This window comes from Homo sapiens, chromosome 8, assembly GCF_000001405.40.
Source record: "Homo sapiens chromosome 8, GRCh38.p14 Primary Assembly".
Taxonomy (NCBI): Eukaryota; Metazoa; Chordata; class Mammalia; order Primates; family Hominidae; genus Homo; species Homo sapiens.
Window position 1 is genome coordinate 25,172,263 of NC_000008.11, and position 26,730 is coordinate 25,198,992.

General features: G+C 43.7%; 1 protein-coding gene and 1 long non-coding RNA gene across 3 annotated transcripts in view, besides 6 other annotated features; one reads left to right on the plus strand and one right to left on the minus strand.

Annotated features, from left to right (window-relative positions):
• Positions 2,828 to 3,031: a silencer, noted in NCBI's record as "fragment chr8:25032605-25032808 (GRCh37/hg19 assembly coordinates)". NCBI's record gives its function as "represses an EF-1alpha promoter that drives an FKBP-Casp9 reporter gene in an ReSE screen in HepG2 liver carcinoma cells {active_cell/tissue: HepG2}" and the evidence as "EXISTENCE:reporter gene assay evidence [ECO:0000049][PMID:32094911]".
• On the minus strand, positions 5,519 to 12,115 carry LOC124901912 (uncharacterized). Its single transcript, XR_007060861.1, has 2 exons — positions 8,555 to 12,115; positions 5,519 to 7,782 (listed from the first exon to the last, which is right to left on the minus strand). It is a non-coding gene; the product is annotated as an uncharacterized LOC124901912 (long non-coding RNA).
• Positions 12,245 to 12,324: a silencer, noted in NCBI's record as "silent region_19031". NCBI's record gives its function as "represses an Ori minimal core promoter by ATAC-STARR-seq in GM12878 lymphoblastoid cells {active_cell/tissue: GM12878}" and the evidence as "EXISTENCE:reporter gene assay evidence [ECO:0000049][PMID:35858748]".
• Positions 12,335 to 12,504: a silencer, noted in NCBI's record as "silent region_19032". NCBI's record gives its function as "represses an Ori minimal core promoter by ATAC-STARR-seq in GM12878 lymphoblastoid cells {active_cell/tissue: GM12878}" and the evidence as "EXISTENCE:reporter gene assay evidence [ECO:0000049][PMID:35858748]".
• Positions 12,427 to 26,730, plus strand: part of DOCK5 (dedicator of cytokinesis 5) — a 231,023-nt gene continuing 216,719 nt past the window's right edge. For both annotated transcript variants that reach the window (NM_024940.8, NM_001322810.2), the window contains exon 1: positions 12,427 to 12,689. In NM_024940.8, coding sequence (NP_079216.4) covers positions 12,647 to 12,689 — 43 coding nt within the window. In that variant the 5' untranslated portion in view covers positions 12,427 to 12,646. The remainder of the gene's footprint in view (positions 12,690 to 26,730) is intronic.
• Positions 12,675 to 12,724: a silencer, noted in NCBI's record as "silent region_19033". NCBI's record gives its function as "represses an Ori minimal core promoter by ATAC-STARR-seq in GM12878 lymphoblastoid cells {active_cell/tissue: GM12878}" and the evidence as "EXISTENCE:reporter gene assay evidence [ECO:0000049][PMID:35858748]".
• Positions 24,740 to 25,680: an enhancer, noted in NCBI's record as "NANOG-H3K27ac-H3K4me1 hESC enhancer chr8:25054518-25055458 (GRCh37/hg19 assembly coordinates)". NCBI's record gives its function as "activates a minimal SCP1, AML or CMV promoter by ChIP-STARR-seq in naive H9 embryonic stem cells {active_cell/tissue: H9 hESC(naive)}" and the evidence as "EXISTENCE:reporter gene assay evidence [ECO:0000049][PMID:30033119]".
• Positions 25,681 to 26,619: an enhancer, noted in NCBI's record as "NANOG-H3K27ac-H3K4me1 hESC enhancer chr8:25055459-25056397 (GRCh37/hg19 assembly coordinates)". NCBI's record gives its function as "activates a minimal SCP1, AML or CMV promoter by ChIP-STARR-seq in naive H9 embryonic stem cells {active_cell/tissue: H9 hESC(naive)}" and the evidence as "EXISTENCE:reporter gene assay evidence [ECO:0000049][PMID:30033119]".

Below are 26,730 nucleotides of genomic sequence, written 5' to 3' on the forward strand. Positions count from 1 at the left end.
ATATTTCCTATATAACAGACAATATGTTATATATTTCCTATATAACAGACAATATGTTATATATTTCCTATATAACAGACAATATGTTATATATTTCCTATATAACAGACAATATGTTATATATTTCCTATATAACAGACAATATGTTATATATTTCATATATAACATATAATATGTTATACGGTATGTTATATGGTATGTTATATGTTGTAATATATTATGTTTTATATAACATAATATATTATGTGTTATATATCATAATATATTATGTGTTATATATAACATAATATATATTTTATATAATTTATATATAATTTGTATTATATATATTCATATAATTTATATTATATACATTTATATAATTTATATTATATATATTTATATATTATATAATATATAAATAAATATATATTATATATATTTTATATAATAAATATATACTATATAAAATAAAATATGTATTTATATTATATATCATATATTATATATTATATATTTATAATATATAATATATTTATATAATATATTATATATTATATAAATATATTATATAAATATATTATATAAATATATTATATATTATATATTATATATTTATATATAATATATAATACATATAATGTATTATATATAATATTTTTTTATAATATATTATATATATAGCCTGAGAAGTCCCTTTACATGTACTTCAAAACAAGAGAAAAAATTTAAACATGATACAATTCTGATTTATTCAACCACGAACAGTGGCTCATGCCTGTAGTCCTTGTGCTTTGAGAGGCCAAGGTTAGGGGATTGCTTGAGGCCAGAAGTTCAAGGTTGCAGTGAGCTATTATCATGCCACTGCACTGCAGCCTAGGAGACAGAGCAACACCCCATCTCTACAAAAAATTAAAAAATAATTAGCTGGACATAGTGCCTCTTGCCTGAAGTTCCAGCTACTAGGGAAACTGAGGTGGGAGGGCCGCTTGAACCTGGGAGGTTGAGGCTGCAGTGAGCTATTATCGTGCCAGTGCACTGCAGCCTGGGTGACAAAGTGAGATCCTGTGTCCAAAAAAAAAAAAGGAATTCTGATCTAATCAAAAATATTCGCTGTTGATTCTACTAGCGAATTATGTCATGAGCAAATATTGACAATTAATGTCTCTTATTTCCTTGCATGGGATAGAGCAACCTCTGGATACTGCTTTCACTATGCTGTGATAGGACATTCTTCTCTTATTTCTGATTAATAGGAATTCATGGCAATTCACGTTTAAGTGTGATGCTGGCTGCTTGTTTCTATTAGTAATATATACTCTATCATGTTTAGGAGGTATAGCCTGTTCTTAGTTTACTAAGGGTTTGGATCAAGAATGAGTGTTTTCAAATCCCTTTTACGTATCAATCCAGATAATCATTTGGCTTTTCTCTACTGACCTTTTGATGAAATGAATTCTATTGATAAGTTTCCTATTATTGAACTTCTCTTGTACTTTAAGAATAAAACTTATAGCTGGGCGCCATGGCTCACGCCTGTAATCCCAACACTTTGGGAGGTGGAGGAGGGTGGATCACCTGTGGTCAGGAGTTCAAGACCAACCTGGCCAACATGGTGAAACCCTGTCTTTACTAAAAATACAAAAATTAGCCAGGCATGATGGCAGGCACCTGTAATCCCAGCTACTGGAGAGGCTGAGGCAAGAGAATCACTTGAACCCGGGAAGCAGAGGTTGCAATAAGCCGAGATCACACCACTGCACTCCAGCCTCGGCAACAGAGTGAGACTCCATCTCAAAAAAAAAAAAAAAAAGAATAAAACGTATTTAGTCATCCTGTATCATTCTTTTCATGCAGAACAATATGAGATTCACTAATATTTTCTTTACTTTTGCATCTCTGTTTATAGCTGAATTTGTATTACATTTATACAAATACATGTTTATATTTTCGGCTCCATATTTTAGCATTCTTTACTGCCAGGGTTAGGCTAGTTTCATAAAACAAACTTTTCTTTTCCTTTTTTTTTTTTTTGAATCAGAGCCTCACTTCATTACCCAAGCTGGAGTGTAGTAATGTGGATCTCGTCTCACTGCAAACTCCGTCTCCTGGGTTCAAGTGATTCTCGTGCCTCAGCCTCCCAAGTAGCTGGAATTACAAGCGCATGCCACCACACCCAGCTAATTTTTTTTGTATTTTCAGCAGAAACAGGGTTTTGCTATGTTGTCCATGCTGGTCTTGAACTCCTGACCTAAAATGATCCACCCACATAGGCCTCCCAAAGTGCTGGGATTACAGATGTGAGTCACCACGCCCGTCCTCACTCTATCATTTTCTGTGAAACGGTTTATATTACATTTAGCTGACCTGTTCCCTGAACGTACAAAAGTATTTGTCTTTATAGCTAGGCCTGGCACATTTTTTAGCTATAGTATTTTGACCACATTTTCAATTTCTTTTATGCTGTTTCGTTGGCTCAGGTTTTCTATTTCTTGGCTCAATTTTGTTTATTTACATTTTCCTAATGAGTTCTGTTTTTATTGTGATCTTTACAATTTATTATGTAAGAACTATACTGCACATCCTAGTCTTACGTAAGTTGCTTTTCTATGGTCCCATACCCTTTTAATTAATTACATCTATTTGTGTTTTTCTTTTATTCTTGACTAGATTCACTAAAAGTATATTCATTTTATTGCTATGTTTCTACTCAAATAGCTTACAGAATATTAAGTAAAATACATGGTCATTTGAATTTTCCTATTTTTCACATTCTAGGTAAACTGAGGTGGAATTTCCTGTCTTCAAATAATACACCATCCTGAAGAATTCTAACATTTGTACCCAGGCAACACATCACAACAACAATTTTACAAATAAGAAGACTGTGTTCAAGAGAGGCCTTTTTGGCAATTCACAGGAGAAATAAAAATGTAACTTCCAGGGCCAGCGTTTGCCCAGCTCTTGCTGTGGGGGCCAAGCCCAAAGTTAACAAGGACTGACATTAATCATCACATCATTTCTAAATGGAGTTTGCATCCAGGAAGAACCTAAGCGAGTTTTCTCTCCTCTTATGAGACTTTTTGCGTATGTGCTATAAGTCATTCAGGGGAAAAAACCCTGGGGCATAATTTCATGGGAGGGAAGGGCTTGTTTAAATAGGAACTTTATGCCACAGTACATGACTAAGAAACTATGTAAGTATGAACCCTAGGGCCCTGTCTTCCTGATTCAGCCAAGCCAGGTAATTGCTGCAAAGTATTCAAAGATTCCTTGTTATTTTGAATGAAGTGAGTTCAGAAATATTGCTCAAATATGACACAGACAACCCTGGGGTGAAGCCAGACTTTGAGATTGGAGATTACACACACACACACACAAAAACCCAAACCCCAAACTGTAATAGCATAGCCTACATTTTAATATTAAAGATGTGTAGTTTGGCTATTATGAGGGAGTATTGCAATCACATAGTTGCTTAATTAAAATGCTGCCTTTCAAAACATCTACTAAGAAATTCAAAATCTGGCCATCCAAATGAACATTCCCTAAAACTTTAAGTCACTTTTATTGGTGCTATAACAATTCTACACTAAATGTAGTTTCTCCCAAGAGGGTAAAGACTGACATTCAAAAACATGAATTCTGAGGACAAGGACCAATTAGAGACAACAAATAGCTGTCCCAATCTCAGTGAGATAATGAACACGAAAGTGTTTAGGAACATTATCCATCTGGAGCTGGTTCTACGATTTCATCACCCCCACCTCCTTTTCAAGCCTCCTTCAGGTATTTCTGGAAGATCTCAGGGTGTATATCTGAGTACTCACAAATCAGTTGGGCTATTTTGTTTTTTTCTGCTCTGACCTTCACCAGGTGGTATCACCAATATCTACTCGGCCTTGCAAATATTTTAATAGATGTTGTCATACCTCCTTCTAGCACCCTTATCTCAGGCAGGCCCCATGTCTTTTCCATTGGGATACCCATGAGAATGCCACACTCCCCTCTGTAGAAGCCTGCTTGTTCAGTGGGTACCAAAGCATTGTTTGTGTGTTGCTATCTTACCAGGGCTTAGTCAAAATTTTTTTTTGAGACACTCTTACTCTGTCGCCCAGGCTGGAGTGCAGCGGTACAGTCTCCGCTCACTGCAACCTCCACCTCCCATGTTCAAGCGATTCTCCTGCCTCAGCCTCCCAAGTAGCTGGAACTACAGGCGTGTGCCACCATGCTCTGCTAATTCTTGTCTTTTTAGTAGAGACGAGGTTTCACCATGTTGGCCAGGCTGGTCTCGAACTCCTGACCTCTGGTAATCTTCCCGCCTCAGTCTCCCAAAGTGCTGGGATTACAGGCATGAGCCATTGTGACCAGCCAAGTTTTATATTTATAGTTCTTATCACTGGGAATAGAGTTCAAAGGGCTAGGCCAGTAGACAATTCCCCAACACACGATATTCACTGCTCTCAGAAGTGCCCCCATCCTCTGATTTCTATGGCAACTTTTACTATTGGAGTCCTCCTCTTCCCATGACTTTTTTTCCAAGGGCTTCTCACAAATCCTTATGCAAACAGACTTCCAGTGGGAAAGCACCACACATGCTTCCTTAGTTATGCTGCTCCTTCTGGAGGCCCCCAGCCTTCCCACCCACCTAAAGGGGTGACAGTCATAGTGTAGAGCAGGGATTGGCAAACTAAGGCCCAAGAGCCAACTCTGCCTCACCACCTGCTCCTGCGCAGCCTGCAAGATAAAGATAAGATAAAGATAAGAATTTTTTTTTTTTTTTTTGAGACAGTCTCGCTCTGTCACCAGGCTGGAGTGCAGTGGTGTGACCTCTGCTCACGGCAACCTCTGCCTCCCAGATTCAAGCCATTCTCCTGCCTCAGCCTCCTGAGTAGCTGGGACCACAGGCACATGCCATTACACACAGCTAATTTTTGTATTTTTAGTAGAGACGGGGTTTCACCATATTAGCCAGAATGGTCTCGATCTTCTGACCTCGTGATCCGCCCGCCTCAGCCTCCCAAAGTGCTGGCATTACAGGGGTGAGCCACCACGCCTGGCCAAGATAAGAATGTTTTTTACATTTTTAAATGATAAAGAAAAACATCAAAAGAAGGATAAACAATAATATTTCTTTTCTTTCCTTTCCTTTTCTTTTCTTTCCTTTCCTTTTTTTAAGATAAGGTATCACTCTTATCGCCCAGGCTAGAGTGCAGTGGCACAACAATCGCAGCTCACTACAAGGTCAACCTCCCCAGGCTCAAGTGATCCTTTCACCTCAGCCTCTTGAGTAGCTGGAACAACATGTGTGTGCCAACACACATCTAATTTTTGTGTTTTTTGTAGTGACAGGATTTCTTCATGTTGCCCAGGCTGGTCTTGAACTCCTGGACTTTAGCAATCTGCCCACTTCGGCCATTCAAACTGCTGGGATTACAGGGGTGAGCCACTGCACCTGGCCAGAATAATATTTCATATGCATAAAAATACATGAAATTCAAATTTCAAATCTACTGTTAAAAGAAAGACCATAGCCAAATTAAATTTAACATACTTTAATTGAGCAAAGAACGACTTGAGAATCAGGCAGCCTCCTGAGCCGGGGTAGGCTCAGCAACTCCAGTGCAGCCACGTGGTGGAAGACGATTTATAACAGAAGAAGGAAAGTGATGTACAGAAAACAGAAATGAGGTACAGAAAACGGAAATGGGGTACAGAAACAGGCGGATTGGTTACAGCTCAGCAGCTGGGCGTTTACCTTATTTGAAGACAGTTTTAACAGTTTGCCTCCTCTGATTGGCCAAAACTCAGTGATTGGCACAAGAATAGGTTTTGGTCTGTTTACACTTCCATTGAGATTATAGTTCGCTATGTACAGAGAAACCTTTAGGCTGAACTTAAAATATGTAAGGAGGCAGGTTTAGTCTAAACTTGATCTAACACAACTAATGAAGTTTTACTGGGACACAACCACACTCAATTCATTGTATGTATTGCTCATAGAGGCTTCCCTGCTACAACTGCAGAGTTGAGTGGTTGCAACAAGGCCATATGGCCTGCAAAGCCTGGGAACTATCCATAGTGGGGCCTTTATAGCAAAAGCTTGCAGACCTCTGCTTTAGAGCATGGACCCTGGAGTCAGGCTGTCTGGGTCTGGATTTTATTTTGCCACTAATTAATTATGTAGGTAATTTCTGGACACCTCCTAAGCCACATTTGTGAGGTGGGAATGACCGGAGAGTTATATTTACCTCATTAGGTTGTATGGGGATTAAACAAGGTGATTTGGAGCCAGTACTCATTACTTCATACGCAGTTATTATTGTTACTTTACAGTTGGTGGCTGTGAAAAAATAAAATCGTTCTGGTATTAAATACAAGTTCTGGATTAAATGCTTGTTTTCTTAACTGACCACAAACAGGAAGAAAAATCTGCTGAATATGACAGTCGTCTAAACAAGATAGTCATAGTGTCCGTGTGCCCAAGGAACTGAAGAGTGAAACTTCACTCTTGTCACAAAAAATGATCAGATTTAGGCAAATAACTTCCTACTCTTGCTACATAGCCCAGAGACTTCAGCAATCAAGTATTTTTCTTTATTTTGTTTTGAAGAAGGTTGAATAAAATTTGTCATTTATTCATGTTCTTCTATGGTCATTTTCCCTGTAAATCTATGACTTTCTATAGCTACAATCATTTTGCGGCATAGACAATCTAATTATTTTCATTTATGCCTACATTATACATTTTCCACATTTCTTCTAAGTTTTCATCATCTCTCTTTTTGTTCTTTTTTTTTTTTTTTTTTTTTTTTGGCAGGGGGAACAGGGTCCCCCTGTCACCTAGGCTGGAATGCAATGGTGCCACATCAGCTCACTGTAACCTCCACCTCCTGGGCTCAAGGAATCCTCCTACCTCAGCTTCCTGAGTAGCTGATACTACAGACACACACCACCACACCCTGGTAATTTTTGCATTTTTTGTAGAAACAGGGTTTTGCCGTGTTGCCCAGCCTGGTCTCGAACTCCTGGGCCCAAGTGATCTGCCCGCCTTGGCCTCCCAAAGTGCTGAGATTACAGGCATGAGCCACTGCGTCCAGCCCATCATCTCTTATTTTAAACAGTTTTATGAATATAATTTTTCAATGTATATAGGAATCAAGACATACGGTAAATAAACATAGTTTGTTTTTTTTAAAATCAGGTAGTTTGATTTCATCTCACCTAAATATGGATCTAGTTTTCAAGAAACTAATGCCTTCTTACTGCTCACATCATCCACCTCTCCCAACAGTGGAATCAGCTCATTTAGACACAGCAAAGAACATTCCAGAAACAACACTAGAAAAAAGAATTTTCCCATGTTCATGAAAAGGGTAAATCATAAGTATAAATCTCCTTGTGACAGAGATGAGGAGATAATAGCATTGGAGCCCCGAGCATTATCTTCCCATCCATCAGAGAAGCCGGACCCCCACAGCCACATGGCAGAGCCTGTGCAGACTCAGAGATGCTCACGACCTAAGTCACTTGCAGAGTGGAGAGTGAATAATGATGTTGGAATCCCTGGGGCCTATGAAAAGGTACTTCTGGGACTAGGGTGATTCATGGTTTCCTTTGTCCTGCTAAGCTCATGGGTCCCAGAATTACAATGTATCACCTACTCCTGGCTTACTTAGAACCATCCTTAGGAGCCTGCAAAGCACTGCTTAGAACCAATTACATTATTTGCATTGTTATCATTTTTTTGGTAGTTCCATTAGCCACTGACTCGTATAGGATCACAGAATAATCTTCTTTTATCTAGAGAGAGAGAGAAAAAAGACACTTTAAACGACTCCACAGCATCTCATAGAGAAGCCATCAGACCAGCCTGATTTGGCAAAAACAAGCCTGGTAATCAACAGGGAGGTGAGGCTCTTGCCAGTTCTCTTCACATCCTGTCCATTTATTCTCTAAGGCATTGTAAGGGTTAGTCACAATACTCATGTCAAACTAACCCTCAAAGCCACTTACCCTCATTTCTTTCTCCATGGCTCCTTCAAGCAGAGCCTGTGAGTGTCTGTGCGTGCTTAAGTGTGTTTGTATTTGTGTGGGTTTTGGAGTCTGAAGATCTCTGTGGAATATGCTTAATGTTTCTTCTGAAAAGATATCAGAGGAAAAAAAAAGGGTATTTCTGGGCATCACGCTGTCATTCCAACTGCCTGTCTGGTTAACTGTCTAATTTTAAGCCTCATTCTAATAAAAGACTTTGAAAAGCTCTGCTTTTATGATTTAAAAGGACATTCACACTAGGATTTAGCCATCTGATATAGCAAAGTGAGTGGATTTCAGTTTTCAAAAGGAAATGATAAACATACTGAAAGCTGTAATTAAAATTTTCCATTTTCCTCCAACTCTCTTAAAGCCATTGTCAAATTTGAAATCTCTGGCACCCAAATTCAAACCTCTAGTTTTGGAAGAAGAAGACTTCAATGCAAAAGTGGGATGAGGCAGTTGAAATCGCTTTGGTAGAAACCCAGTTCCACTGGATAAGAGCATTAACATTCTGATGTATGGTACATTTGAAATATACCTTTGGTCAGAGAACAGAGGTCATCCAATTTCCCTAAGCACGGAGAATTCATGTAACTTTGAGAAGCCCTGAGTCCACAACAGGCAAGTCATATAATCCAGTGCAGAGCGCTTTAGCTCCTAAGGGGCCACATGGAGAAGTTGCTGAGGAAGGCGTGAAGAAGTGGGTCCTAAAGAAATATTGAAAGGAAAACTTTGATACAGAGCAACTGGGACAGGAAAGGGTGAAGACAAGATAGATATAAATGGTGACCAAGACAATGGCAACTCTACTCCCTTGCTATTCAAGCCCCAAACCTTAGAGTCACTCTTTTTGTTTTGAATTAATATTTGTTTAGAGACAGGGTCTTGCTATGTTGTCCAAGCTGAAATGCAGTGCCAATTCACAGGTGCCATCCCATTATTGATCAGAAGGGGAGCTCAAGAGAGGGTGCCACCTGGAGCCTGAGGCAGTTCAAATGTGAAGTCCCGGCTACGGGATCTTTGTCAATAATGCAGTCAGTGACAGAGAAAAGACAAGGATGCATCCAGTTGCTTTCTACACAGGGATGCTCTCTGGGCTGCTGGCTGGTTGGAAAAGGGAGGTCTTGGGGTAGATTTCCCCCTGGATATGTGGGCCTGAATTTCTTCAGCTAAGGAGGAGTACCGAAGTTTTGGGATATAGGACTTCCAAATTAGGGCTTTCCAAATAATTGACCCGCTCCATTTCTGACCTGGACCAGTTCACCCCTCCTTAGGCAACCTGGTGGTCGCCTGCTCCCAGGATGTCACTATATTGATGCGGAACTTAGTGCAGACACCTGATCAGCATAGCTCACTGCAGCCTGGAACTCCTGGGCTCAAGCAATCCTCTTGCCTCAGCCTCCCTAGCAGCTGGGACTACAGGCATGTGCGACCTAGCTGGCTTTAGAGTCATTCTTGACCCAGCTTGTATCTCACATGCAGGGACAAGAACCAAGGTGTGTGGGGCCTGAAGGGTGTACGATACGGGTAGGGCTCTTTAAAAAAAAAAAGAAAAATACAAGCATATCTCTTTCTGGGGGAAAACTTTCCAAAAAAGATTGAAGCCTCACAGTAGTAGATCCCCCTGCCGTTCATGTGGCCCTCCTCTTGGTTCTTTTTCATGCTGTGATGCAATCATAGCTCACTGCTAGCCTCGACCTCCTGGGCTCAAGCAATCCTCCCACCTCAGTCTCCTGAGTAGATAGGGCCACAGGCACAGCCACCATGCCCAGGATATATATATAGTAGAGGAGGGTCTCACTATGTTGTCCAGGCTGATTTTGAACTCCTGACCTTAAGCAATCCTCCCACCTCAGCCTCCCAAAATGCTGGGATTACAGGTGTGAGCCACCACATCTGGCCAGGCTCTATTTTCACGTATGTCAAGAACCCAACATCTTTTTCACCTCCATCCTTATCCTCCTGGACCCAACTACCTTCATGTCTTGCCTGAATGACTGAAATAGCCCCCAACATCCATCCATGTGGGCCTCCCTTGCCCCTTTACAATGGATTCATACCACAGCAGGCAAGTTCAATATGTTCCAGGTTGGCTCAAAGCCCTCCAAACCTCGCTTGTAGTAGTAATATATAAAGTCCATATGCCTGCCAGGGTTCTGCTCTATCTGGCATTCCTCTGCCTCTTAGACCAAGTTTCCTCTCACCTGTTACTCAGCTCTCATTACCTAGGATCTCTGGGTGACCTGGGAACCTGCCAAACACGCTTGGTGTCCTTTGCCTTTGCTGTTCCTCTTTTCCAGAATACTTTCTCCCGGAATCTTCACTTCCTTCAGGTCTACACCTCAACCTCAGCTTAGCAGAGCTGCATTCCCAGACCACTCCATAAAAACAGCAGCACCCTACACGCCCTATCCTCCCTGCTTTGGATTTTTCTCTAATGTTTACTCTCGTTTGGTGTACATTTCTTTACTGTCTTACTCTCCCCGTCTAGACTAGAAGCTCTGTGAAGGGACACATTCTACTGTATTCACCGCTGCACCCTCATTCTTAGAGTGATGCCTGGCACTTAACGTGTAGGCATTTAATATGTGTGTGAAGAAGGAAGAAGAAATTACCTAACCTGGGAAATTAGAATCATGATATACTAATGGAGGAAGATAAATTATTTTAGGGAAGATGGTGGAATTCTTTCTGGATGTCAAGTCTAAAGTGACAGAGGAATTTCTTAAATTATTGTTAAACATTGTGAATAAATACCTATTGGTTGATGGAGAAAAAAAAAGCCAGCTCTAGTAGTTACCCACCGTGAATAGGACTTAAAAAAAATTTCAGACCTCGTTTGGTAAAAAACCACCAAAGTTAAAATGCACTAATTCTCCAATGAAACTTTACTATCTTGTTACCTTGTTTGCCTATCTATCTTTACTGTCTTTTTTTTTTTTTTTTTTTTTTAGACGGAGTTTTGCCCTGTTGCCCAGGCTGGAGTGCAGTGGCGCGATCTCGGCTCACTTATAGCCTCTGCCTCCCGGGTTCCAGCGATTCTCCTGCCTCAGCCTCCTGGGTAGCTGGGATTACATGAGCACACCAGCACGTCTGGCTAACTTTTGTATTTTAGTAGAGAAGGGGTTTCACCATGTTGGCCAGGCTGGTCTGGAACTCGTGACCTCAGGTGATCCACCCGCCTCGGCCTCCCAAAGTGCTGAGATTACAGGCATGAGCCACCACGCCTGGCCAACTACCTGTCTTTACTATCTTTACTACATGTTTGTCTTCCTTTCTTTTATATTCCTAAAACGCATGAAAACCTTCACAGGCTGCAAGGAGGATATAATTTCTCTCTAGAGGAATCTTCTTCGAAGGTGAACGTAATTAAGCTGGTCATTTACTCTACTTGCAATGTTACTTCTCGGTACAAGGTAGGGAGAAACCCCTGGATCTTCATTCTCCAAGTCTCTCCAGGAAGAAATGAATTCCAAGAGGGGAGCTCCAGAGAGGGCGCCACCTGGAGCCCAAGGCGGTTCAAATGCGCAGCCCCTTTGGGATCTTCGTCAAGAAAAGGCAGTCGTTGACGGAGAAAAGACGGGGATGCGCCTTGGCCCTTTCTCCACGGGAATGCTCTCTGGGCTGCTGGCTGGTTGGGAAAGGGAGGTCTGGGCATGAGGGTCTAAGTTTCTTCAGCTTAAGGTTGGGGGGTCCCCGGAGTTTGGGGATACAGGACTTCCAAATTAGGGCTTTCTAAACAATTTCCCTGCAGAGGATCCCCTAGCAAACGGTCTGATACTTCTGAGGAGCCCACCTCCCTTGCACCAGCTCTCCGGTGATAAAAGTTCTGCTTTCCAGGCTCTAAGCGGTGGCCCCGGGAGATTCAGTCTGCCCTGAGTCCGGCTTCTCCCGCTCGCGGCGCGGGTTCAAGCTCCAGGGGGTGAAGGCAGAAGTCAACTGCTCATTCATTCAACAAATATTTATTGCGCGCCCGCTTAGTGCCAGGCACCGGAGGTGCCCCGAGCAAGAAGCCGCTCTCGCTGATCCGTTTCCGCTCCCCAAGTGTCCGGCGCGCGCCGTGGGAGCGCAGCCCGCATCCCTCGCCCACCGGCCGCCCGGCCTGGGCGTGCCCGGCTCCTCCAGCGCAGCCCTCTGTCGGGAGCCGGACCCCCGGGACCCAGCCTCCGGGGTATCAGCCGGGTGGGGAGGGCGGGAGAAAGGCAAAGTGCCGCCAGCGTCAAAGTCCCGCCGGCCCAGGAAGCCGCTCCAGGGAAGCGCGCGAGGCGGAGCCGCAGTCGGCCCCCGCCCGGCAGAGCGCAGAGAGCGGCGCGGGCGGGAGAGGCCGGGCGCCCGCGGCTCGGAGGCGGCCCCGGCGGGCGGAGGGTGCGGCCGGCGGGAGGGACTGGGGCGGCGCCAGGAGGGGCGCGCACTGCTGCGCTGCAGCCCGGCCCAGCAGGTGACCGCGGGCGGCGCGGGCACGGGCACGGGCGCGGGCGGCGCGGCGAGGAGGCGGCCCGCGGAGTCCAGCGAAGTTTGGCGGAACATGGCGGAAGCGTCTGGGGCACGCAGGAGCGCGGGGCGGCGGCGGCCGGAGCCCGAGGAGCTGTAGCAGCCTTAGTCGCCGCCGCCGCGGGGCGAGGTCGCCGCCATGGCCCGCTGGATCCCGACCAAGAGGCAGAAGTACGGGGTTGGTGAGTGCGCGCCCCACCTTGTCCCGGCCCGACCCACGCGGCCAAGTTCGCGGACAGCGGCCCTGCCAGGTTTGCGCAGAGCCCGGCGGAGGACCCTGGCCGGGGGCTCGGCCCGGCTGCGCAGCTCTGGGAGCCGGGGACGGTAGGAGTCCTCTCCAGGGAGCGCCGATGGGGAAGTCGCCCAGGGTTTGGGGACTCCGAGTGCTTCCAAGTGCAGCTGAGCTTCGGGACCGTAATCCCGCTCTTGCATCCCAATCTCCGGCACTTCACACCAGGGAAATGTCAACGCGAGGGGGGCGCGCCTGCTGCTCTTTTGGGGCCGCAGCTCTGTGGCTCGCCCCGGTGCGCCCAGCGTGGGTTTCACCTGGGAGTAGGTGACCAGCCCGGGTCGGCACATGGACTGGTGCTCATTGTCCCAGTGCTTTCTGCCCCCCGCTTTCGTAGGTTCTTCTCAGACGCCCCTTAAGTGAGGAGTTGAGGGTGGAAAGCCGCCCTGCCCCCTTTCCTCCAGAGACTGGGATCTTGATGACAGTTGTGAGCTGGATGGAAACTAGAGTCGTGGCGTGGAAGTGATGGAAGGGACAGGAAGTTGTGGCACGGGAAGGGGGTGGCTGGCCCCTGGGGCTGTTTGTGCGCACTCATCCCCTAACGGAGCCTGTCTGGAGAGGGTGTAAGGCTGCCTTCCGGATCCTGAGTTTCATCCTGGAGACGAGAAGAGGACATTTTATTAAGGAAACTGTGCCAGACCCCGTGCTGGGCACTTGGCATTCAGAACAGCGGTGCTGGAGAGCCCCGGGTTGTGCGCAGGGGTTGCTGGTGGTGGTGCTTTGGCTCCGAAACAATAGATGTGCGGGGATTTTGACCCAGGTGGAAAGTCAGGCTCCTTTGGCTTTTTATCAAGGATTGAAGTTATTGAGGGCCTGTGGGAAGACTTCTGCCCTGAACGGGGTGATTACAATGGCAGTTAGACCTGGGGTGATTCCCTACAATAAACACGGCTGAGTGTGTTGCGAATTTTATCACTTCCTCTCAGATCCATTCATTTGGCCTGTTTGTAATTTAGTCTTTGACTTTACTCCCTTACTGAGGTCCTGTTTTTCCTCACCTCACTGGTTAATGAAGTGCAGTCTCAATTAAGAGCTACTCAACGTGTCTAGGGGCTTTTCAACTCTGTAGCCAGGAGTCAGGGTTTTTTGTTGTTGTTTGTTTTGTTTTTTAACAGTCTCATATTTACTATATTATTCTTAGGTTGTGATCCTTTATATATTTATTATTTTTTGTTTTCCCTCAATTCAAAAGACATTTTCTTTTTTGCTCTTAAGTTGCTTTTAGAATCTTAGTCTCTCCCTTAGCTGCATCTCAGAAATGGGTAGAGATGTTGCTTCTGCCTCAGGGCTCTTTTTTTTTTTTTTTTTGGTTTGTTTGTTTTTGAGACGGACTGACGAGGGAGTCTCACTCTGTCGCCCAGGCCGGAGTGCAGTGGCGCAATCTCGGCTCACTGCAAGCTCCACCTCTAGGTTCCAGCAATTCTCCTGTCTCAGCCCCCCTCCCCGAGTAGCTGGGATTACGGGCTTGCATCACTACACCTGACTAATTTTTGTATTTTTAGTAGAAACCAGGTTTCGCCATCTGGGCCAGGCTGGTCTCAAACTCCTGACCTCAGGTGATCCGCCTGCCTCGGCCTCCCAAAGTGTTGGGATTACAGTCATGAGCCACCTCACCTGGCCCCTAGATGAAAGCATATTTACAATGCCCAATCACTACAGAAATGTTATCAACTCTAATTTTATCAGGATTAAAAGCTCTTTTCAAAACTATTCAGTTGAGGGTAATTAATGCAAACATGTTTCAAAAATGTGGTTTTTATTGCCATAGTCCTAGGAGCAAGTATAATTGTTTTTAATATTTTGTTTTTATGTTCTGGAGTCAGTTTACTGTGTCACTTATCAGTCAAGAAAAATATTTGGGCCAGGTGCGATGGCTCACGTCTGTAATCCCAACAATTTGGGTGGCAGAGGCAGGAGGATTGCTTGAGCCCAGGAGTTCAAAACTAGCATAGCAACATGGCAAACGGGTCTTTACAATAAATACGAAAAAAATTTAGCCGGGCATGGTCGCCTGTGCCTGTGGTTCTAGCTACTGAGGAGGCTGAGGTGGGAGGATAGCTTGAGCCTGGGAGGTTGAGGGTGCACCGAGCCCCCATCACGACACTGCACTCCAGCCTGGGTGATACTGTGAGACCCGATCTCAAAAAAAAAACTATATATACATATATATACGTATATATATATATACACACACACACACACGTATACACACACATATATGTATATATGTATATACATATATATGTATATATGCGTATATGTGTGTGTGTGTATATATATATGTATATGGAAATATGGGTGGAAATTGTGTGTGTGTGTGTGTGTGTGTGTGTGTGTGTAAAATATTTGGATTGCATTTCCAGGGCCTAGGTGTTAGGGAAACTGCTCCAGGATATAATTCTGAACACTTATTTCACCAGACATAGATTCTGGTTTGTCTGGGTTTGACAAAAGGACCCACAGTTGGGATAAATTAACTGAAGAGAGAAATCTCCATTGCTTATTGCTAAAACTCATTGTTTTTGTCACCTCCTTGCTTATGTTTATGTCACCTCCCTGCTTGGAAGTCTCTCGTGGTCAACAGGATAAAGTCTGAGCCTCCGTTCCAAGGTTCCTATAATCTGGTTCAGCCTATCTTCAGCATTATCTCTCGAGGCTTCTTTCACTAGCTCTCCAATGCAGACCAACTGCCCTTCCCACTGTTGTGCAACATACCCTGCAGAGTCCCTCCTTTGGGACTTTGCTCCCATTGTGCCTGTCCCTGCCAGGAGTGCCCTCCCAACTCTGCCTCAGACAGCTCACCTTTCCTTGAGGGCTCAAATCCATTCCTACTCCCTTCTTCAAATTTGCTATTTGTCAGACTGTCCCAAACCTCCTTGCTTCTTCCTCGCAGTTCCTGGACTGTGCCATCCTTGGGTTCAGTGAATCAGACCATTGTGGTTTTGTATTCCTAGCACTCAACAGGTGTACCAGGTATTAGTGCATTCAGTTTGCTTGTCCTTGATGTTGGGGTGCCGTTCTAAAGTACACTAACCTAGCTTGTCTGGTAATTGAATGCAGTTTTTTCCTCTTCTTTTTCTTCCCATTAGGCATAACATCTCATTCACCCCAATATGAGTTGAATTTTGTTTGGTTAGATGGAGGAAGGGAGAGCCTCCACTCTGTCTTTATCTCTGCAAGTAAGAGAATGAGATATTCTGCTGAGAAAACAAGGAAGCATGGAGCAGACAGACTTTCTTAAATATAGTTGGGAAAATTGGCTTTCTGGACTTCTCTAAGTGTGTACTGGTCAGATTTGGTTTCTGGATGAAGGAACCGTAGGATAGTCATGTTGAAGCATTTGGATGACTCAGAGCTAGCTATGACTTTGCCTGTTGTGCTCTAAGAGGAGTGTGCCTCTGCAGAGCTAGTCTGTGTGAGGATAGAGCTTTGGACTCAGTATGAATTGTGCCTGCTGAAGCTGGCAGTCGCTACTGTCATATTTTATCTTGGTGCCACTCTTGGCTGTTCCTGACATATCCTAGATGTTTCTACAGGGACTGAAATGCAGCCTGTCTGGGCTTTCTTAGTTCTTAAACAGCAGTGTTGGCTCAGGCTCTAGCATTAAGTGGATCTCAATGGTTTCTGTGTGTTATCAAGTGAAGTGACTGATCTATTTGATTCTTTAAACTTATGGTGCTCTAGTACCCCAGTGTTAAGTGCTCAGTGGCTAAGTGTTCTTCCCTGGAGACGTGGAAAATGTGCTTTTTTCTCATCTTTTTTCTTTCTTTGTTTCTCTTTTCTCTCTCTTTTTTCTGTTTGAGCATATGAAGATATAAAACACTTTTAAGCAAACATTAGTGATAAATATCCAGAATAGTCTGATTATAAAAACATTTATTTTTAAGTTTGCTTCCACACAAGCCATTATGTAAAGAATAGCCCCAGATTAGGTTGACTATGGATTCTTTGCAAAGCTTTTTTTTCTTTTCTTTTCTTTCTTTCTTTCTTTTTTTTTTTTTTTTTTTTGAGACAGGGCCTCACTCCACAGCCCAGACTAGAGTACAGTATGATCATAGCTCACTGCAACCTGCCATCTCAGCCTTCCAAGTTGCTGGAACTGCAGGTGTGCACCACCATGCCTGGCTTAAGTTTTTTGATTTTTTAAGTTTTAAAATATTAAACTTTTAAAATAATCATTTTAAAGATGGAGTCTTTCTATATTGTCCAGGCTGATCTGGAACTCTTGGCCTCGTGTGCTCCTTCAGCCTTAAGCCTCCCATGTTGCTAGGATTACAGGGGTGAGCCATGAGCCTGGCTGATTTTTTTTTCTTTTCTTCTGAGACAGGGTCTCGTTCTGTAACCCAGGATAGAGTGCAGTGGCAAAATCATGGCTCACTGCTGCCTCAACTTCCTGGGCTCAAGTGACCCTCCAGCCTCAGCCCGCTGAGAGCTGAGAGCTACAGGTGCGTGCCACCACAACCAGTTGATTTTTGTATTTTTTGTAGGGATGGAGTTTCACCATGTTGCCCAGGCTGGTCTGGAACTCCTAGGCTCAAGCAGTCCTTCTGCCTCAGCCTCCCAAAGTGCTGGGATTACAGGCATGAGCCACCACACCCAGCCTTATTCTTTGAAAAGTAGCTCATTGTTGCATGTTGGGATTTGTGATCACATATATTTTTATGATGTAACAAAAGGCAGTTTTGGGAAATATTACTAGTTAGCTCTTCAGGTGTTTACTTGTTTAAAGCTCTTTAGTTGTTTAGAAGCATCTGACTTAACGGAGTAGAGCTTTGAATGCTGATTTAAGACTGACTTCAGACTTGGGCTTTTGTTGTGTTTTTGTTTGCTTATTTGTTTGTATTTTGAGATGGAGTCTTGCTCTGTCGCCCAGGCTGGAGTGCAGTGGTGCAATCTTGGCTCACTGCAACCTCTGCCTCCTGGGTTCAAGCGATTCTCCTGCCTCAGCCTCCTGAGTAGCTGAGATTACAGGCGCACGCCACCACGCCCGGCCAGTTTTTGTATTTTTAGTAGAGACGGGGTTTCACCATGTTGGTCAGGCTGGTCTGGAACTCCTGACTTCATGTGATGTGCCCGCCTTGGCCTCCCAAAGTGCTGGGATTACAGGCGTGAGCCACCGCTCCTGGCCCAGAATGTTTTTAAATGCATAAAGTACGATACAAAGTTCCAAGTCACTGTAGAAATAAAAATTAAGTAAATTACAAAGGATAGAAAATGAAAACAGCCGTATTGAAATAGGCCGTGAAGGTGTTTTTCAAAGTTCGTGATACTGCAGTATATGTACTTCTTTATTAATGCATAAAGTACCAAGATCTAGTGACAGGTCTAATAACTAGCATAATTTTGAATTAGTCACGAGCATATATGATTTTTCAAGATATCTGCAGTAACCATACTATGATATAAAAATCCCTGTTTTATTGGTGACAGTATCACAGGCGCTAGTAGTGCAATTGCGGTTTATTGGCTACAGTCGTAATTAAAGTGAGTGCTGAATGTCAGAAAATAGAGATGTAACTTTTTTCTTGTTCAAGTTCGTGGATCCTCTGGATTTAACAGATTAAGTATCCTTGGCTGAGGATCACATAGCTAATTAGTTACAGTGCCATCTGAGCAAGACAGTGATACTTGTTGACCACCTCTTTGCACATAACACTGTACCGGATATTATATAATTATAATGACCCGAAGAAGGCCTGGCCTTAACTTGGTCATGGGTTTTTTTTTTTTTTTTTTTTTTTTTGAGACGGAGTCTTGCTCTGTCGCCCAGGGTGGAGTGCAGTGGCGCGATCTCGGCTCACTGCAAGCTCCGCCTCCCGGGTTCACGCCATTCTCCTGCCTCAGCCTCCCGCATAGCTGTGACTACAGGCGCCCGCCACTGCGCCAGGCTAATTTTTTGTATTTTTTAGTAGAGACAGGGTTTCACCGTGTTAGCCAGGATGGTCTTGATCTCCTGAACTTGGTCATGTTTTAACAGCATTGAGGCTAAGAACAAAAGGAAGAGAGAATTAGTATTCATTGAGAACTTCTCTTGTGAGGTACCATTCTGAACCCTTTATTTTAGTATGTTCCAGGGACATGTGGGGTCTTGGAGACACGTTCAGAATGGGGGGGGTCCATGAAATTAAAACTTTCTTTTTGCAATAATGCTAAGCCGTTATTGGCCTGTTTACATTCTCATTCTCTCGTTAGTGGAGTTTTCCAGAGGCTTTGCAAAGTGCGATATGGCCACCGATGGAATGCAGGGGCAGCTATAAAGACCCAGCTGCCTATAGTGAAGTCAGACATTAAAGAGACTTCCAAATATGCAAAACAAAGCCACGCTTCCAAGTGTTTTTGTTTGAGAAAATAGTTCTGTTCCTTGAAAATATGTATTTTTACAAACATGTATTGGATTTATCATAGTTATTTTAAATTAATTACCAACTACTTTTTGAATGTTTCAATTTGAATTTCTGATATGGCAAGTTGTGATAGATGTCACCCACATAGAAGCTCTTTGGTGGTTCTCAGTAACTTTTAAGCAAGTAAAGGGGTTCTGAGACAAACATTTGAGCTGCTTTACCTGTTATTTCATTAAATCATTGTGGCAGTGATATGAAATGCTGTTGTCCCCTGTTTCTGATATAGGAAATGAGGTTTGCAGAAGATGAGTTTCTCATCCATGGCCATATAATCTCACTCCAAAAACAAAATCTTTTTTTTAAAATTATATATATATATTTATTATACTTTAAGTTCTAGGGTACATGTGCACAACGTGCAGTTTTGTTACATATGTATACATGTGCCATTGTGTGCTGCACCCATTAACTCGTCATTTACATTAGTTATATCTCCTAATGCTATCCCTCCCCCCTCCCCCCACCCCACAACAGGCCCTGGTGTGTGATGTTCCCCGTCCTGTGTCCAAGTGTTCTCATTGTTCAGTTCCCACCTGTGAGTGAGAACATGCAGTGTTTGGTTTTTTGTCCTTGCGATAGTTTGCTGAGAATGATGGTTTCCAGCTTCATCCATGTCTGTCCCTGCAAAGGACATGAACTCATCCTTTTTTATGGCTGCATAGTATTCCATGGTGTATATGTACCACATTTTCTTAATCCAGTCTATCACTGATGGACATTTGGGTTGGTTCCAAGTCTTTGCTATTGTGAATGTGCCACAATAAACATACATGTGCATGTGTCTTTATAGCAGCATGACTTATAATCCTTTGGGTATATACCCAGTAATGGGATGGCTGGGTCAAATGGTATTTCTAGTTCTAGATACCTGAGGAATCGCCACACTGTCTTCCACAATGGTTGAACTAGCAAAAACAAAATATTTAACCCATGTTGTGTTTCCCAAGTTCCACTTGTTCATCGTCACCTTGGTTTTGCCCTGTTCAGGTACCACTGTGTAGCAGCTTCAGGGCTATTGCTATACCCATTTCCATCTGTATTCTTTTTTGTTTTTCTTTTAAGAGATAGGGTCTCACTGTGTTGCCCAGGCTGGAGTGCAGTGGTGCAATCTCGGCTCACTGCTGCCTGGACTTCCTGAGCTCAAGCGATTCTCCCACCTCAGCCTCTGGAATAGCTGGAACTACAGACACACACTACCATGCCTGGCTAATTTTTGTTGTTGTTGTTTTCGTAGACACAGGGTTTCACTGTGTTTCCCAGGCTGGTCTTGGGCTCCTGGGCTGAAGCAGTCCTCCTGTCTTGGCCTCCCAAAGTATTGGGATTACAGGCGCCAGCTACCACGCTCAGCCTATACTATTTTCTATGTTATATTTTCTTTATATTGTCTGCTTGTTTTCTTTTTTAATTTTAGCAGTTACTGAAAAAGAAAGCCTTATCTTTCTACCACTACTTGCTGTAGAAAAGAAACAATTGTAAAAATGAAAGCAACAAAAATAAAAGCGGTGTATTAGATTCTGGCTAGATACTGTTGCTGTCAAGCCTAGAGCCCCAGACCTGCTTTTTCTTCATTAAAAAAGGAGGAAGCTGATACCCAATGGAATCTTTCTCTTCAGTATAGTGTCCATTCTCATTATTCATGGTAATTATGTTCTATTTAGTCACAGTGAACACTGAGTTAGTGAATACTGACCCGTTGCTCCTAGGGGAGAGGCAGGGTTCCTGTGAGCCTCTGGTCACAAGCTTTTCATCAGCCAATCAATACATAACCTTATTTTATGTGTGTTTGTGTTTAAAGTTACCTTATTTAACATATATAGTTGGTTCACTAACATTGAGCCCATGGCAAAAAGCACTGTAACTCATGCCTGAATGAAGAAACTTATCTAACGTGTATTTTTTTTTTTAAGGCACATTACAGCTTTTTTTTTTTTGCATTTAGGTACTTAGACAGCACTGTAGCACTATGCTTGGGACCATTTTAAATAGAAAAATCACCAGCAAAAAGCACAAAAATGAGGCCAAATGTGGTGGTTCACACTTGTAATCCCAGCACTTTGGGAGACTGAAACGAGAGGATTGCTTAAGCCCAGGAGTTTGAAACCAGCCTGGGCAACGTTGTGCAACCCCGTCTCTACAAAAAAAAATACAAAAATTAGCTGGGCATGGTAGCATGTGGTTGTGGTCCCACCTACTTGGGAGGCTGAGGTGAGAGGATCATCTGAGCCTGGGGAGGTCAAGGCTGCAGTTAGCTGTGATCGTGCCACTGCACTCCAGCCTGGGTGAGCGAGTGAGACCCTGGTCAAAAAAAAGGCAGAAAAATAAGAGAAATGTGGCAGTAAATAGACCCTGAAAAAGACACTTGTTTACAATATGTTAGCTGAAAAAAGAATGCAGAGCGTCACCTTGCTCACCCTTAGCTAGGAACTTGTGCAGGAGTATTGGTTTTAAGGTTCCATGTATATTTTAGTGAGTAGGTGAATTCGCAAATATGGAGTCTGTCAACAATGAGGATCTACTGTAGTTTCACAAAACGATAATTGAAGCCGGGCATGGTGGCTCACACCTGTAATACCAGCACTTTGGGAGGCTGAGGCGGGTGTATCACCTGAGGTCAGAAGTTCGAGACCAGCCTGGCCAACATGGCGAAACCCTATCTCTAAAAAATACAAAAAAAAAAAAAAATTAGCCAGGTGTGGCGGTGCTCACCTGTCATTGCAGCTACTAGGGAGGCTGAGGTAGGAGAATTGCTTCAGCCCAGGAGGCGGAGGTTGCAGTGAGCCAAGATCACGCCACTACACTCCAGCCTGGGTAACAGAGCAAGACTCTGTCTCAAAAAAATAAAAGATAATTGAAAATGGAATCACTTCCTTTCCCCATGTGTTTGTTTTTGTTCACATATTGGATGCAGTTGACTTTACTTCTAGAAACATTTTCTTCTCTAGACTTTTGATCCCATTTCTCCACAGTTTTCCTCCCATATCCCCACCCTCCATCCTCCCTGCCTTCCCTCCGCTTTGCCACAACTTTAAGTCTTGCCATAGCCTGGCTGGCTTTTGTGTCTCCTTTATCTACCTGATAACAAGTGATCTCATCCCCCGCCTTGGCTCTCATTCCCATTCATTTGCTGCAGCCTTCCACATGGATAGCCCCAGACCCCTTCCCTGTGCTTCGGGATCACATACAGCTGTTCACTGGGCGTCTCCCAGTGTTTTTCTTAACAGGCAGTCCCTGCTTCCAGAACAGAAGTTTGGATCCTCTCTAACCCCAGAACCGCACTTTCCCCAGTTTCTTGCTGTCTGTCCAGTGGCCCAGGCAGAACACTAAGAGTCACCCCACATTCTATCTGTCATCAAGTGCAGTCTGTCCTTCCTCCAAAATATGTCCTCAGATTACTGCTGCTGATGTTTCCATTTCAATGCAAGCCTGCATTAGCGTCTGCAGGGCTACTGCAACGGTATTTTTTTTTTTTTCTTTTGGGGACGGAGTCTCGCTCTGTCGCCCAGACTGGAGTGTAGTGGCGCAATCTTGGCTCACTGCAACCTCCACCTCCTGGGTTCAAGTGATTCTCCTGCCATAGCCTCCCGAGTAGCTGGGACTACAGGTGCGCATCACCACACCTGGCTAATTTTTGTATTTTTAGTAGACATGGCATTTCATCTTGTTGACCAGTCTGATCTTGAACTCTTGACCTCAAGTGATCCACCCGCCTTGGCCTCCCAAAGTGCTGGGATTACAGGAATGAGTCACCACGCCCAGCTGCAATGGTCTTCTAACTGGACTCCTTATCACTTTTTTTTTTTTTTTTTTTTTTTTAAGATGGGCATCTTGCTTTGTTGCCCAGGCTGGTCTTGAACTCCTGGCCTCAAGTGATTCTCCTGCCTCAGCCTCACAAGTGCTGGAATTACAGGCATGAACCACCAAGCCCAGCTAAGAGGAACTTTTTAAAGGCAAGAACCTGACATTGCCACCTCCCTGCTTCCACCTTCCCATTGCAGTTGGGATGGCACTGAAGTTCCTGGTCATGCCCTCCCGGCCCTGTGGGATCAGACCTGCCGCCTCCCTCTTTCCCTTCTGCATTCCAGCCACACCAGCTTTATTTCTGGTTTTTGAACTTGCCAAGCTCAGCTTGACTCAGGACCTTGGCACTTACTCCTCCCTCTTATGGAATGTGTTTCCCTAGATCTTTAGATGTCCGGTTCTCTGGTCTTCCTTCAAATAATCCCTGCTTAGAGAGAGCCTTCTCTGAGAAGAACCCTAGCTGCATGATCCCACCTCCTTGCTGACACCTCACAATGTCTAGCCCTTTTCCTTTATTTATTTGTTAGTGTTTACTGTCTGTCTCCCATACTAGAATGTAAAGTTATGAGGACACGAACTCTTTTTCATCAGTGTGCCCCAGCCCCTGGAATAGCACCTGGCTCATAGTAAGTCCTCAGTGAATATATGCTGTATGAATAAATGAATACTGACCCCATCATCTCTTTAAATTCATCTTGCTTACCATCAGCAGGATTTTGCCCACACTTTGGAAAATACCACCCTGTGTGTATTTCCCATGAGAGAAACATCAAAGGCAGAGAGAAAGGGACATTCAAGTAATGGAGAAAATAGATTTAATAAACTGCATAAGCAAAAGATTACGTGAATCCTGTGGGGTGGGTGAGGACTTAGAATCATAAATGTTGCATTATTAGATGGAAGTGATGGGATTTGCTTTTTTATTTTTGGGTCATTATTTCTGGAGGCTTTATGGAGGAAGGGGCACTGCAGACTTGGCTACCTGGAAAGAAAATGCTTGACCATGTGGTGTACAGAGTTTAGGAGGTTCTGAGTCATTGGTTGGTGCTGTGTTGAGCACATGAATTGGAAAGGAAAGAAGGCGCAGTCTCATGGAAGAAACAAGACATTTAGATTCATCTGTTATTTCCCATTTCTAATACAAGGAGTTGAGATTCCTTACAAAAAGAGCATATGTACTGTACACTCAATAATTAAATAAAAAATCTGAGAAATCACAAGTAATTTGGAGAAGAAGAAAAAGTAATTTAGAATACTGGCAAGGGGCTTTGAAGCCATGGTTACTCAAACATTAGTCTGTCTAAATTTTTCTTGTGGCCATAGCTGTCATGTAGCCATCTTGTTAGCTGAAAATATAAATTAATTTGTGTTTTCTCCTCATCTAAATTTCAAGAGACAAATCAGTGGGGCTTGAATGTAAGGAATCAAATCTCATTGTACTTAATTTTACCATAAAGCAAAGTTTTTCTAACTTCTAGCTTATTGCCAGCAGTATTCAATGCAATGACGTTATAATGCAATGCATATAAAAGATTTTAGTACTTTCAAAAGAATTAAAAAAAAGGAATCATCCAGTTCTTTGGAATGAGTTGTAGCGGAATTGAACCGTATGTCTGTGGTCAAGGAACACACAGTTTGTTCTTCACTAAATATTTTGGCTGGGCACCGTGGCTCATGCCTGTAATCCCAGCACTTTAGGAGGCTGAGGCTGGAGGATTGCTTGAGCCCAGGAGTTTGAGACCAGCCTGGGCAACATAGTGAGACCCTGTCTATTATTTAAAAAAAAAATTAGTAGAAAGAAAAATCGTTTTCCCCTTCCTCAAACAGGTAAAATCACCCAGAATATGCCTACTCTCCGTGGACATTAAAGGACATAATAAGCCCTTTGGGAGTCCTTTGACTGATTTATAACTACACCAGCATACCTCCGGAATAATGGGGGTTTTATTGTCAAGCTTTATAAAAGTGTTTTTTGAGAAATTATTTTGAGGCAGAGATGTGGATGAGCACGTTAATTGTGTTTTTCCAAGTAATGTTTGGGCCATGTCCTCTCAGAGCCTGGGCTCACTCAAACGATTGTCTGAATGCTGGCAGCCACTTCCCAAGCAAGAGACAGAAGTGGGCTTTGTCTTTCAGAAAGCTCTGTGCCATTGCAAAGCCACTGTTGTTCGAATGGGTTCATGGTCATTATCCACCTTTTCCCAAATGTGCCGTTTGCTCTCATATTTCCACAGCTGATTAAACCCTGTCACTATCCACATCAGATAATAGTTGGACCCCAAAGATGCCCTCTCTTTAAGGATCGTGTCTTTGTCTTTTTTTTTTTTTTTTTTTTTTTTTTTGAGAAGGAGTCTCGCTCTGTTGCCAGGGTGGAGTACAATGGCGTGATCTCGGCTCATTGCAACCTTCGCCTCCTGGGTTCAAGAGATTCTCCTGCCTCAGCCACCCAAGTAGCTGGGACTACAGGTACATGCAACCATGCCAAGCTAATTTTTTTTTTTTTTTTTTGAGACGGAGTCTCGCTCTGTCACCCAGGCTGGAGTGCTGTGGCGCAATCTCGGCTCACTGCAAGCTCAGCCTCCCTGTTTCACGCCATTCTCCTGCCTCAGCCTCCTGAGCAGCTGGGACTACAGGTGCCCACCACCATGCCCGGCTAATTTTTTGCATTTTTAGTAGAGACGGGGTTTCACTGTGTTAGCCAGGATGGTCTCGATCTCCTGACGTCGTGATCCGCCTGCGTCGGCCTCCCAAAGTGCTGGGATTACAGGCATGAGGCACTGTGCCGGTGTCTTTGTCTTTTAAAACAGCTTGAGGGAAGGAAAACACAGTGGAGACTAATTCCCTCTTGAAAATAACTCTTTGCTGACTCAGCCAAGGTGCATTAGAATGCACCCTCCTGATGGGTTTGTTACCTGTATACCTGCAACAAGTTGCATCGTATTTGATTTGTACTTTCTGTGAGCCTGGAACAATGCGGCTCTCATGACCCAGCCTTCCCTGCCAGAGACCAGTTATAAGACGAAGTGACGACCAGACACGGTGTCTCATACCTGTGATCCCAGCACTGTGGGAAGCTGAGGCGGGTAGATCACCCGAGATCAGGAGTTTCAAGACCAGCCTGGCCAACATGGTGAAACCCCATCTCGACTAAAAATACAAAAATTAGCTGGGCATGGTAGTGTGTGCCTGTAATCCCAGCTATGCAGGAGGCTGAAGCACAAAAATCACTTGAACCCGGGAGGCAGACGTTGCAGTAAGCTGAGATCGTGCCACTGCACTCCAACCTGGGCAACAGAGCGAGACTCCATCTCAAAAAAAAAAAAATACTAAGTCATAAATAAGACTCAGTTGTCAAAATCTAACAGTTTTGCCCTCTTGTATGTAGAATCAGAAGATATTAAGAGCCGGAGTTTGTAAGTATTACCTCTTGGCTAACACCCTCATTTTATCAGAAGAAAAAAAGCCCCAGAGACATCAGATGACTTACCTAAAAGTCACACAGCTAGTAGCAAATTTTTGTTTCAACTTGCTGTCTATCTTTCTCCTTACTTACAACTCTGGAGAGGGGTTTGTTAATCAGATCTCCTTAAGGTTGGAAGAGTAAATTCTCCCCTCTCCATCCAAAGGGGAAGATGCCTGTGTCTCCTGGGTTTTTTCCAGGTGGAGGTTTTGTTATAAGTAAGGTTTGGCTGTTAAATATCTTCCCTTTTTTAAGAGTTCTAGGAAGGAAGT